We start from the raw sequence: 14,135 nt of genomic DNA, 5'->3' as shown, positions 1-14,135 counted from the left end.
GAGCTTGAAACATGTCTTGTGAGAAACAGACAATTTTGGGTTCTAAAGAGAAGACTCAGAGAGAGGGACGGAAGAACTTTCCTCAAATCTCTGAAGGCATAAGGGATGAGATTTATTCTGGGAGGTCCCAAGGACTGGTGAGTAAGTGGCAGACTTTCGCTTGACTCAACCCAGGGCCTGGGTCATCGTTGGCCCCACTGATAATGATAGCTGATATAGTTCTCGGTAAGGGTACCAGGAAGGACTGCCTCAAAGTTTCCCAGAGATATAATAGACTGCTTCCGAAAGGGGCTGGCTTCCTGGGTCCAGAAACATTAAGGTAGAAGAGTGAAAGGGAACCAAGAGCTAAAAAAGGAGAAGAACAGGGCAAACTGTAGGACCATATAGTAAATCTTTCAGGCAGGACTGGCTATATAAGTTGAGGGGTCCAGAGAAAAACAAAAATTCAGCTCTTGTTTAAAAATGATTAAAAATTTCAACATGGTGAAATCAAGCTGTGGCATCTCCCAAGCATGGGGCCCTATGGGTTGCACTGCCCTGGTTTCAGATTTCGTGGGCCATGTGGTCTCTGTCGCGACTACTCACCTCTGCCCTTGTAGCTCAAAAGCTGCTGTAGAAAATGCGTAAATGAAGGGGCTATGGTTGTGTCTCAGTAAAACTTTATTTACAAAAATAAGTGGCAGCCAGATTGTAAAAACACGATTTTGGCTCATGGGCTGTATGCAGTTTGCAGACCCTGTGTAGAGTCCTGGGTCATCAGAGCCGTCTTGGGCTGGTGCTGTCCCGAGCCATGTCTGGACGGCCTCGGTTTCACGTTCGAGCCAGTACAGACTCGCTCTCCTTACCTACTTCTCCCACCTGGGGGAAAATAGCTCTGAGTTGAGTCCCATATCTAACTGGGATTCCTTCCACCCGACTTGATTATCCATCAGACAATGAGAATGAGTAAGTGAACCCCAAGTTGCCATACTCCCCTCCAAGAGCAGATGCCAGGACAGGGGAGACTGGCCCTTGCCATACTCAGGTAGAACCTGCTTTGCTTCCCAGGTGAAAGAAAAGAGATGGAAAATTTTCCAGCCTTCAGGACCAACAGTGAAAACTCCCTGTTCAGAGACCATGCTGGAGCAGGCTCTGGGGAAGGGGCGTGTATTCTTGTGGGTGGGAACAGCGTTTGCTGTTTACTTTCAGCAAGGCCCAGGGTGGGCCTCAGTCTCTGAGAATATCAGGTGCTTTGGCATTCAGAACGTCTTCATGAATTCACAGAGTCCTGACACTTGGGCGGGGCTCTCTGGGCTGGGGTTTCTGCATGTCTCTTTGAGCTCTGTGATGTATACCCCAGACCAAATGGATGTTCCAGAGACTGGGTGCCCTGAAGATGAGCCCTTGGTTCTGTCTGCAACCTCATTCTGCAGAATTCTTGAGGGGTGAGGATGAGAGATAAGTCATCATTTCTCCTTGTCTCTGTCTACTTAGCCTCCCAGAGGATCTTGGTTTGAGTCAAAAAGAGCTGGCTTCAATTTCATCTGGCCTAAGCCTCAGATGTGAGCCACACACGCTGCCCTAGAGATTCAGAGCACGCCCCACCTCATACACCACACTGCCTTTTTTGAAAACAGGTTGAACTCAACTCTTCTGCATTGAGGGAAGCTTTCCAGGGGCTATATTTTCATTCAACACATAGTGACTTCATGCTGGTGTTTTTCCTAGGCTCAGTGGATGGGAAACAAAGATGAATAATGCATGATTTCAACAAACGCTTACTGGGTGTGCAGCACATAGCAGATGCTGAGGATAAAACAGTGAAGAAGACTTGAACCCTGACCTGGTAGATTGCACAGTTCTGCTGGGGAGGCAGACAAGAAAAAACAGTGATGAACAGAGGGCCTGGCACGCTGCCTGCTGGGGTAGGCAGGTGGCAAACACTGGGAGGAAGCCCTAGGATCACGGACGGACATGGCTCCTGCCTGGGAGGATTTCCCAGTCTCGTAGGGAATGAGGGAGGCCCTTGAGCACCCCCAGATCCCTGCAGCGTGTGCTGAAGTTCCATCGAGTCAGTGGGGGAGGTGAACACTGCCCCAGAGCACTGGGTGTTGGCCTCTGGGGAACAGAGAGAGGGAGCTTGGGGAACAGACAGAGGAAGTTGGAGGGTCATTTTCTTGCAGGGAAATAATTATTGCCCTCCTTCCCTGCGATTTGTAGAGGAGGGCAGCTTTTAGGAATAATGGTGTGTTAGGGGTTGAACTGTATTCCCTCAAAAGCTGTAGAAGTCCTGACCTCCAGTACCTGTGAATAGGACCTTATTTGGAAATAGGATCTCTGCAGATGATCAGAGTTAAGATGAAGCTATTAAGTCATTGAGGTTGGCTGGAATCCAATATGACTGGTAATATTAGATTCCAGCCAATATAATATTCTTATAAAATGGGGAAATTTGAATATATAGACACATACACACACACAAACACACACACACACACACACACACACACACACAAAACACAATGTGAAGATTGGAGTTCTGCTGCCACAAGCCAGGGAACTACCAGCAGCTCAGAGAGAGGCCTAGAATCGAGCCTACCCTGGCGCCCTCAGAGGCAGCATGACTGCCCACCTTGATCTCGGATGTCCAGCCTCCAGAACTGTGGGACAATCCATTTCTGCTATGTAAGCCCCGAGTCGGTGGTCATGGCAACCCTAGCAAACTAATACATGCTAGAAGGACCCAAACTTCTAACTGTATTCGTTTCCTATTGCTCCTGTAATAACCATAAATGTATCTTAAAATAACACAGATCTATTATCTTACAGTTCTACAGGTCATGAGTCCTCAAATCAAGGCATCAGCAGGGCTGCATTCCTTCTGGAGGTTCTAGGGGAGAATCTATGGCCTTACCTTTTCTAGCTTTCAGAGGTCACCTGTGTTCCTTCTTCCATCTCCAAAGGGCATCCTTTCAACCTCTGCTCCAAATCAGGAGCTGTGATCCAGGTTCTCACCTCCTCTCTGCCTTTTCTGTTCCCCGTCAATCCCACACTTTTGGTCAACCAGGGGTTCCTGTGCTTCTTGCCTGTTGGCTGTGAGTTCCTTGATTCCTTTCCAGCCCACAGCCACTGGCTCCGTGGAAATCCTGGGGCCCCATCTCTAGGGCTGTCCATCCAGATAGTGAAGACACTGCTGGTCCCCAGCTGAGCAGAACCTGCTGGTCAGCCAACATGCAGCTGGCGCCCAAACTCACTTTCCCTCCCTCTCTTTCTATGTGTGTGTCATGTTTGCAGCTGAGAAGCAGATGGGGGGCTTTATTTAAGGGGGAATTTCCAACTGCCAGTGCTCTCTGGGAATAGTACAGGGTAGGGTCCTAGGGTAGCTCACTTGAAGAGGGCAGGATCCTGTAGATCTTAAGAGCTTGGGCTTTTGATTCAATTGACCTGAGAGAATCTGCTAGTCATAAGGTGTATGACCTTGAGCCTCAGTTTACTTGCCTGTAAAATAGGAATGATAATAATAGGATGATGTGAGGACCATGTCAGGCTCACAAACTGAAATGCCCTCAAGGTAAATGAATGACACAGGCCAGGCGGAAGACACCCACAGCCTCATTGATCATCTCTTTTTTGATAGACATGGCGATGAGAAACACACCTTTCTTTTGAGCTATAGGAAAACCGACAGGGCAATCATTACCATAAGAATCAGGGGCTGGGCACGGTGGCTCATGCCTGTAATCCTTGCACTTTGGGAGACAGAGGCAGGCGAATCACCTGAGATCAGGAGTTCAAGGCCAGCCTGGCCAATATGGTGAAACCCTGTCTCTACTAAAAATACAAAAATTAGCCGGGCGTGGTGGCGCATGCCTGTAGTCCCAGCTACTCGGGAGGCTGAGGCAGGAGAATCGCTTGAACCTGGGAGACAGAGGTTGCAGTGAGCTGAGATTGTGCCACTGGCCACTGCACTCCAGCCTGGGTGACACAGCAAGACTCCGTCTCAAAAAAAAAAAAAAAAAAAAAAAATTCAGGGATGCCCAGCCTCAGTGTGGGGAGACAACAAGGAGAAGTGGGGACTGTGGAAAATCGGAGATCACATGCCCAGCTCACTCCAAGAGGAGTGGGGGTTGCAAATCCAGGGATGGGGCAGAATGGCCCAGCCTGAGAGGGGACCTGTAGTCTGGGGCTGTGACCTCATGGGCTTTAAAGAATTTCAATGCCCAGGCCACACCCCAGACCAGTGATAGCAGAATGTCTGGGTTAGAACCCGGGCACCTGTAATTTTTAAAGCTCCCCTCCAGTGATTTCCTAGTTTTAGAACCACTGTCTGGCAGTGGGGAGGAGGCGGTCAGACCATGGGGCTCCCAGGTGGTTGGGCCAGGGAGAGACTGAGGGAAAGAAGGAGTTGTTGGTGGGATTTGGGGGTGGAGCACCATCTGTCTGCCCTGCAGTGCGACTCCTCACCATCTTCATAAAAGCTTCACAAGTTCAACATGCCTGTTGTCATTGGATTCTGGAAAAGGGGCTGAGTTTAGCATCAAATGATGGGGGAGGGAGGCTGGAACAGCTACTGTGAATAAGAAGAGCGGCTGCTTCGGGGGGAGGAGAAGGCTGATATTCTTGTGGCATTGCCTAGTTGTGGTGGGTCTTTCACGGGGAAAAACACAACCTTTTTCAAAATCCAGGCAAGAAAAGTTTACAGAATGTGCATCTACACAGTGTGGGGCTTGCAATGCCACACTGAATCCTGGTGGATTGAAAATTAGAAAGACAGAGCCTTTGGGAGTTACAGAGTAAGCAACTGACATTAGGAGCAAATGTGCAGGGTTAGCTGCCAAGGACCTGAAATGAAATAAAATGCCTCAACCACCTCCAGCTTGGTCAACTCTAGCTTAAAGTTCAACCCTGCCTCAAAGGAGATGAAGATAATGGCATGTGTAGAAAATGACTGTCAGAAGTTTAATAGAATGTTTAAACAAATGGGATCTTGGTCACCTCAAGGAAAAGCTGTGAGACATTCAATCGGATCATTAAATAGAGGCAGTGAAGGAGAATGACTCATTAGGTTGCATATATCTGATGAACTTGGCACCTCTGCCAGGTAAATAAAAATTACTCTCATGGAAACAAAACTTTTGTGGTTTGCTATTGGTCTTTATTTTGTTTTGCTCAGATATGTGAGGCTCTCCCCGTAATATTTCATTTCCACATGCTGTAGGGTTGGTGTGGGGTTTAAGAGAAGTTTTAATTTTTGTCAGCTTGCATATTTACCTCCATTGTTTATTTGTGTGTGGTAATGTAGGAGGCATTCATTTTATTAGGGAAAATGCAATGTCACTTTTTTTTTTTTGAGACAGGGTCTTGCTCTGTCGCCCAGGCTGGAGTGCAGTGGTGCACTCATGGCTCACTGTAGCCTTGACCTCCTGGGCTTGAATGATCCTCCCACCCCAGCCTCCCAAGTAGTTGGGACCATGGGCGCATACCACCATACTCAGCTAATTTCTTTTTTTTCTTCTTTTTTTTTTTCAATCTTTTTGTAGAGAGGAGGTCTTGCCATGTTGCCCAGGTCGGTCTTGAACCCCTGGGCTCAAGTGATTTTCCTGCCTTGGCCTCCCAATGTGCTGGGATTACAGATGGGAGCCACTGTGCCTGGCTGCAATGTCATTTTAATAGACCTTAATTTTATCTTTGTTTAGTGGACCAGGTAGAATGGTCCTGCTGTGTGGTTTCCTGCAGCCAAGGGGGCTGGGGAAGGAGGTGGTAGGGTTGGGGAAAAGAAGCAGGAAGTAGGCGTCTGGCTCTGCAGAGGTGAGGAGGAGAAAGTGGCTCTGCGGTTGGTGCATGGAGACCAATGGAAATGGAAGAAAGCTTGCAAACTGAGCAAGGAGGGTAGAGCCAGAATAAAGGAAGCAACATGGAGGGAGAAGCAAAGCCTCATAACCCACCCCAGGCAGGCTTGCTGGAGTGCCATGGATTTAACTAATGGGTTGGGACAGGACAATCTTTTCTTTAATAGAGCTAGGTTAACTGGGAATAATTGAGCCCATGGAATTTTCAAGGTTTCTGACCATATGTTCTGAAGATTTCACTGTACGAACCCCTCCAGAGACCAAAAGGAACTTGTGGAAGACACTCATTCCTAGGAAATGAATAAGAATTAGGAATAAGTTGTTGTTGTGAATTTAGCTTTTGGAACAGGGCCTGGCACCCAGTAGAGACTCTATAGATACTTGTTGATTGACTGCATGAAGGTAAGGTCACACTGATTCATATATGGAGTGAATAAATGGAGATAATTTCACACTGATTCATATCTGGAAAGAAAATTAGAGCAGAAGTGCTCAACCGAGAAATTCTGTGAATGAAGAATGTTGGAAAAAATTGTGCCTTGTTGTATGTGTTCATGCGAGCTATTCAGGTTTGAACCCCTGGCATCTCTGCATTTGTTTCTCATGGAGAGAAGAAGACAAGGATTGTGAATGTGGGCCTGGCTCCAATCAAGGTGAATGTCTGCTCCAAGAGCAGGGAGGTGGCTGACAGCCAATCCGCTTTGCATGTGCTGCCTCTTGGTTCTTCCAAAGCTGGGGTGGCTATTCCTATGCATATGTAATGACTCGTGTCACAGGGGAGTCAAGAAGTCCCGGCAGCTTTCAGCTGGATTCTGAATACTTTTGAATTGATATTTAAGGCCATCATATTTACATTAAACACAGAAAATCTTGAGATTTGTGTTTTTGAAAAGATGAGGTATACATTGGGTCGTATAAATTTGGATTCCTCCTAGCTTTTACTTACTCAGTGTGACTTCAGGCAAGTTACTTAATCTCACCATGTGTCACTTTCCTCCTCTGTAAAATGGGGTGATTGTTTCCCAAGTCACAGGATTAAGGGAGTAACCCCATGAGTTAACGAATGTAAAGTACTTATAACAGTGGCGGGGAGTCCAGGTATTAGTTAGTATTGTTATTAGTTGGTTCTTGCACTGCTGTAAAGAAATACCGGAGACTGGGTAATTTATAAAGAAAAGAGGTTTAATTGGCCCATGGTTCTGCAGGCTGTACAGGAAGCATAGCAGCAGCAGCTTCTGGGGAGGCCTCAAGGAACTTACAATCATGGTGGAAGGCAAAGGGGGAGCAGACGTCTTACATGGCAGGAGCAGGAGGAAGAGAGAGAAGAAGGGGAGGTGCCACACACTTTTTAACAAGCAGATATCACGAGAACTCACTCACTATCTCAACACAGCACCAAGGGGAAAATCTGACCCCCGTGATCCAATCACCTCCCACCAGGCCCTACCTCCAACATTGCAATGGGATTACATTTCTATGTGAGATTACATTATGTGAGATTACATGTAATCTATGTGAGATTAAACGTAATGGGATTACATTTCTATATGGGTGGGGACACAGATCCAAACCATATGAGTATTGTTGTTCTGTTTTTTTTTTTGTTTTTTTGTTTTTTTGTTTTTTTTTTCTTTTATTAGTATACTTTAAGTTTTAGGGTACATGTGCACATTGTGCAGGTTAGTTACATATGTATACATGTGCCATGCTGGTACGCTGCACCCACTAACTCGTCATCTAGCATTAGGTATATCTCCCAATGCTATCCCTCCCCCCTCCCCCCACCCCACAACAGTCCCCAGAGTGTGATGTTCCCCTTCCCGTGTCCATGTGTTCTTATTGTTCAATTACCACCTATGAGTGAGAATATGCGGTGTTTGGTTTTTTGTTCTTGTGATAGTTTACTGAGAATGATGATTTCCAATTTCATCCATGTCCCTACAAAGGACATGAACTCATCATTTTTTATGGCTGCATAGTATTCCATGGTGTATATGTGCCACATTTTCTTAATCCAGTCTATCATTGTTGGACATTTGAGTTGGTTCCAAGTCTTTGCTATTGTGAATAGTGCCGCAATAAACATACGTGTGCATGTGTCTTTATAGCAGCATGATTTATAGTCCTTTGGGTATATACCCAGTAATGGGATGGCTGGGTCAAATGGTATTTCTAGTTCTAGATCCCTGAGGAATCGCCACACTGACTTCCACAATGGTTGAACTAGTTTACAGTCCCACCAACAGTGTAAAAGTGTTCCTATTTCTCCACATCCTCTCCAGCACCTGTTGTTTCCTGACTTTTTAATGATTGCCATGCTAACTGGTGTGAGATGGTATCTCATTGTGGTTTTGATTTGCATTTCTCTGATGGCCAGTGATGGTGAGCATTTTTTCATGTGTTTTTTGGCTGCATAAATGTCTTCTTTTGAGAAGTGTCTGTCCATGTCCTTTGCCCACTTTTTGATGGGGTTGTTTGTTTTTTTCTTGTAAATTTGTTGGAGTTCATTGTAGATTCTGGATATTAGCCCTTTGTCAGATGAGTAGGTTGCGAAAATTTTCTCCCATTTTGTGGGTTGCCTGTTCACTCTGATGGTAGTTTCTTTTGCTGTACAGAAGCTCTTTAGTTTAATTAGATCCCATTTGTCAATTTTGTCTTTTGTTGCCATTGCTTTTGGTGTTTTAGACATGAAGTCCTTGCCCATGCCTGTGTCCTGAATGGTATTGCCTAGGTTTTCTTCTAGGGTTTTTATGGTTTTAGGTCTAACGTTTAAGTCTTTAATCCATCTTGAATTGATTTTTGTATAAGGTGTAAGGAAGGGATCCAGTTTCAGCTTTCTACATATGGCTAGCCAGTTTTCCCAGCACCATTTATTAAATAGGGAATCCTTTCCCCATTGCTTGTTTTTCTCAGGTTTGTCAAAGATCAGACAGTTGTAGATATGTGGCATTATTTCTGAGGGCTCTGTTCTGTTCCATTGATCTATATCTCTGTTTTGGTCCCAGTACCATGCTGTTTTGGTTACTGTAGCCTTGTAGTATAGTTTGAAGTCAGGTAGTGTGATGCCTCCAGCTTTGTTCTTTTGGCTTAGGATTGACTTGGCGATGCGGGCTCTTTTTTGGTTCCATATGAACTTTAAAGTAGTTTTTTCCAATTCTGTGAAGAAAGTCATTGGTAGCTTGATGGGGATGGCATTGACTCTGTAAATTACCTTGGGCAGTATGGCCATTTTCACGATATTGATTCTTCCTACCCATGAGCATGGAATGTTCTTCCATTTGTTTGTATCCTCTTTTATTTCCTTGAGCAGTGGTTTGTAGTTCTCCTTGAAGAGGTCCTTCACATCCCTTGTAAGTTGGATTGCTAGGTATTTTATTCTCTTTGAAGCAATTGTGAATGGGAGTTCACTCATGATTTGGCTCTCTGTTTGTCTGTTGCTGGTGTATAGGAATGCTTATGATTTTTGTACATTGATTATATATCCTGAGACTTTGCTGAAGTTGCTTATCAGCTTAAGGAGATTTTGGGCTGAGACAATGGGGTTTTCTAGATATACAATCATGTCATCTGCAAAGAGGGACAATTTGACTTCCTCTTTTCCTAATGAATACCCTTTATTTCCTTCTCCTGCCTAATTGCCCTGGCCAGAACTTCAACACTATGTTGAATAGGAGTGGTGAGAGAAGGCATCCCTGTCTTGTGCCAGTTTTCAAAGGGAATGCTTCCAGTTTTTGCCCATTCAGTATGATATTGGCTGTGGGTTTGTCATAGATAGCTCTTATTATTTTGAAATACGTCCCATCAATACCTAATTTATTGAGAGTTTTTAGCATGAAGGGTTGTTGAATTTTGTCAAAGGCCTTTTCTGCATCTATTGAGATAATCATGTGGTTTTTGTCTTTGGCTCTGTTTATATGCTGGATTACATTTATTGATTTGCGTATATTGAACCAGCCTTGCATCCCAGGGATGAAGCCCACTTGATCATGGTGGATAAGCTTTTTGATGTGCTGCTGGATTCGTTTTGCCAATATTTTATTGAGGATTTTTGCATCAACGTTCATCAAGGATATTGGTCTAAAATTCTCTTTTTTGGTTGTGTCTCTGCCAGCCTTTGGTATCAGGATGATGCTGGCCTCATAAAATGAGTTAGGGAGGATTCCCTCTTTTTCTATTGATTGGAATAGTTGTAGAAGGAATGGTACCAGTTCCTCCTTGTACCTCTGGTAGAATTCGGCTGTGAATCCATCTGGTCCTGGACTCTTTTTGGTTGGTAAGCTATTGATTATTGCCACAATTTCAGAGCCTGTTATTGGTCTATTCAGAGATTCAACTTCTTCCTGGTTTAGTCTTGGGAGAGTGTATGTGTCAAGGAATTTATCCATTTCCTCTAGATTTTCTAGTTTATTTGCGTAGAGGTGTTTGTAGTATTCTCTGATGGTAGTTTGTATTTCTGTGGGATCAGTGGTGATATCCCCTTTATCATTTTTTATTGCGTCTATTTGATTCTTCTCTCTTTTTTTCTTTATTAGTCTTGCTGGTGGTCTATTTTGTTGATCCTTTCAAAAAACCAGCTCCTGGATTCATTAATTTTTTGAAGGGTTTTTGTGTCTCTATTTCCTTCAGTTCTGCTCTGATTTTAGTTATTTCTTGCCTTCTGCTAGCTTTTGAATGTGTTTGCTCTTGCTTTTCTAGTTCTTTTAATTGTGATGTTAGGGTGTCAATTTTGGATCTTTCCTGCTTTCTCTTGTGGGCATTTAGTGCTATAAATTTCCCTCTACACGCTGCTTTGAATGCGTCCCAGAGATTCTGGTATGTTGTGTCTTTGTTCTCATTGGTTTCAAAGAACATCTTTATTTCTGCCTTCATTTTGTTATGTACCCAGTAGTCATTCAGGAGCAGGTTGTTCAGTTTCCATGTAGTTGAGTGGTTTTGAGTGAGATTCTTAATCCTGAGTTCTAGTTTGATTGCACTGTCGTCTGAGAGATAGTTTGTTATAATTTCTGTTCTTTTACATTTGCTGAGGAGAGCTTTACTTCCAAGTATGCGGTCAATTTTGGAATAGGTGTGGTGTGGTGCTGAAAAAAATGTATATTCTGTTGATTTGGGGTGGAGAGTTCTGTAGATGTCTATTAGGTCTGCTTGGTGCAGAGCTGAGTTAATTCCTGGGTATCCTTGTTGACTTTGTGTCTCATTGATCTGTCTAATGTTGACAGTGGGGTGTTAAAGTCTCCCATTATTAATGTGTGGGAGTCTAAGTCTCTTTGTAGGTCACTCAGGACTTCCTTTACGAATCTGGGTGCTCCTGTGTTGGGTGCATATATATTTAGGATAGTTAGCTCTTCTTGTTGAATTGATCCCTTTACCATTATGTAATGGCCTTCTTTGTCTCTTTTGATCTTTGTTGGTTTAAAGTCTGTTTTATCAGAGACTAGGATTGCAACCCCTGCCTTTTGTTGTTTTCCATTTGCTTGGTAGATCTCCTTCCATCCTTTTATTTTGAGCCTATGTGTGTCTCTGCATGTGAGATGAGTTTCCTGAATACAGCACACTGATTGGTCTTGACTCTTTATCCAATTTGCCAGTCTGTGTCTTTTAATTGGAGCATTTAGTCCATTTACATTTAAAGTTAATATTGTTATGTGTGAATTTGGTCCTGTCATGATGATGTTAGCTGGTTATTTTGCTCGTTAGTTGATGCAGTTTCTTCCTAGTCTCGATAGTCTTTACATTTTGGCATGATTTTGCAGTGGCTGGTACTGGTTGTTCCTTTCCATGTTTAGCGCTTCCTTCAGGAGCTCTTTTAGGGCAGGCCTGGTGGTGACAAAATCTCTCAGCATTTGCTTGTCTGTAAAGTATTTTATTTCTCCTTCACTTATGAAGCTTAGTTTGGCTGGATATGAAATTCTGGGTTGAAAATTCTTTCCTTTAAGAATGTTGAATATTGGCCCCCACTCTCTTCTGGCCTGTAGGGTTTCTGCCAAGAGATCTGCTGTTAGTCTGATGGGCTTCCCTTTGAGGGTAATCCGACCTTTCTCTCTGGCTGCCCTTAACATTTTTTCCTTCATTTCAACTTTGGTGAATCTGACAATTATGTGTCTTGGAGTTGCTCTTCTCGAGGAGTATCTTTGTGGCGTTCTCTGTATTTCCTGAATCTGAACATTGGTCTGCCTTGCTAGATTGGGGAAGTTCTGGACGATATCCTGCAGAGTGTTTTCCAACTTAGTTCCATTCTCCCCGTCACTTTCAGGTACACCAATGAGACGTAGATTTGGTCTTTTCACATAGTCCCATATTTCTTGGAGGCTTTGCTTATTTCTTTTTATTCTTTTTTCTCTAAACTTCCCTTCCCACTTCATTTCATTCATTTCATCTTCCATTGCTGATACCCTTTCTTCCAGTTGATGGCATCGGCTCCTGAGGCTACTGCATTCTTTACGTAGTTCTCGAGCCTTGGTTTTCAGCTCCATCAGCTCCTTTAAGCACTTCTCCGTATTGGTTATTCTAGTTATACATTCTTCTAAATTTTTTTCAAAGTTTTCAACTTCTTTGCCTTTGGTTTGAATGTCCTCCCGTAGCTCAGAGTAATTTGATCATCTGAAGCCTTCTTCTCTCAGCTCGTCAAAGTCATTCCCCCTCCAGCTTTGTTCCGTTGCTGGTGAGGAACTGCGTTCCTTTGGAGGAGGAGAGGCGCTCTGCTTTTTAGAGTTTCCAGTTCTTCTGTTCTGTTTTTTCCCCATCTTTGTGGTTTTATCTACTTTTGGTCTTTGATGATGGTGATGTACAGATGGGTTTTTGGTGTGGATGTCCTTTCTGGTTGTTAGTTTTCCTTCTAACAGACAGGACCCTCAGCTGCAGGTCTGTTGGAGTACCCTGCCGTGTGAGGTGTCAGTGTGCCCCTGTTGGCAGGTGCCTCCCAGTTAGGCTGCTCGGGGGTCAGGGGTCAGGGACCCACTTGAGGAGGCAGTCTGCCTGTTCTCAGATCTCCAGCTGGGTGCTGGGAGAACCACTGCTCTCTTCAAAGCTGTCAGACAGGGACATTTAAGTCTGCAGAGGTTACTGCTGTCTTTTTGTTTGTCTGTGCCCTGCTCCCAGAGGTGGAGCCTACAGAGGCAGGCAGGCCTCCTTGAGCTGTGGTGGGCTCCACCCAGTTGGAGCTTCCCGGCTGCTTTGTTTACCTAATCAAGCCTGGGCAATGGCGGGCCCCCCTCCCCCAGCCTCGCTGCCGCCTTGCAGTTTGATCTCAGACTGCTGTGCTAGCAATCAGCGAGATTCCGTGGGGTAGGACCCTCCGAGCCAGGTGCGGGATATAATCTCGCGGTGCGCCGTTTTTTAAGCCCGTCGGAAAAGCACAGTATTCGGGTGGGAGTGACCCGATTTTCCAGGTGCCGTCCGTCACCCCTTTCTTTGACTCGGAAAGGGAACTCCCTGACCCCTTGTGCTTCCCGAGTGAGGCAATGCCTCACCCTGCTTCGGCTCGCGCAAGGTGCGCGCACCCGCTGACCTGCGCCCACTGTCTGGCACTCCCTAGTGAGATGAACCCGGTACCTCAGATGGAAATGCAGAAATCACCCGTCTTCTGCGTCGCTCACGCTGGGAGCTGTAGACCGGAGCTGTTCCTATTCGGCCATCTTGGCTCCTCCCCCCGTTTTTTTGGTTTTTTTTGAGACAGAGTCTCACTCTGTTGCCCAGGCTGGAATACAGTAGCATGATATTGGCTCACTGCAGCCTCTGCCTCCTGGGTTGAAGCAATACTCCCACTTCAACCTCCTAAGTCGCTCCTAAGTAGGCATGCACTAACATGCCTGTCTAATTAAAATTTTTTTTTTTTTGTAGACGGTCTCACTCTGTTGCTCACTGACGCTGGTCTTGATCTTCTGGGCTCAAGCAGTCTTCTCACCTCAGCCTCCCAAAGTGCTGGGATCACAGACGTGAGCTACCGATCCCAGCTACCATTGTTCTTAATCAATGGTATCAATGTTTTTTTAAATGGAGGAAGAGGTAACATTTGCCAGTTATATCTTTGTTGAATGCACGGGCTCTGAGGATTAGACACCAGGCATTGTGCTAAACACATCGTATCCGCTGTCACTGGATCGCCACCATGACTCTCAGAAGAAGGTGGGTGCTACTGAGGTTCAGAGAGGTGCAGTACTGTGCCTGCTGGAACACAGCTGCTAAGCAGTGGTGCTGGAATTTGATTGCAGTGAGGCCAAGGCTTTTCCTTAGGCCTCAGGGTGGTTCTGAAAGGGATCAGGATGACCTGTGGTTTACAACTGAGACGACCTTTGGGTGGGGAGTAGGGAT

General features: G+C 45.0%; 2 annotated features.

Moving 5' to 3' along the window:
* Nucleotides 5,409-5,910: an enhancer, noted in NCBI's record as "NANOG hESC enhancer chr3:8765327-8765828 (GRCh37/hg19 assembly coordinates)". NCBI's record gives its function as "activates a minimal SCP1, AML or CMV promoter by ChIP-STARR-seq in primed H9 embryonic stem cells {active_cell/tissue: H9 hESC(primed)}" and the evidence as "EXISTENCE:reporter gene assay evidence [ECO:0000049][PMID:30033119]".
* Nucleotides 13,522-13,722: a silencer, noted in NCBI's record as "peak4531 fragment used in MPRA reporter construct". NCBI's record gives its function as "represses an SCP1 promoter by STARR-seq MPRAs in K562 erythroleukemia cells {active_cell/tissue: K562}" and the evidence as "EXISTENCE:reporter gene assay evidence [ECO:0000049][PMID:32103011]".

This window comes from Homo sapiens, chromosome 3, assembly GCF_000001405.40.
Source record: "Homo sapiens chromosome 3, GRCh38.p14 Primary Assembly".
Taxonomy (NCBI): domain Eukaryota; kingdom Metazoa; phylum Chordata; class Mammalia; order Primates; family Hominidae; genus Homo; species Homo sapiens.
Note: the sequence above shows the minus strand (reverse complement) of the source record. Positions and strands in the feature narration are given on the sequence as shown.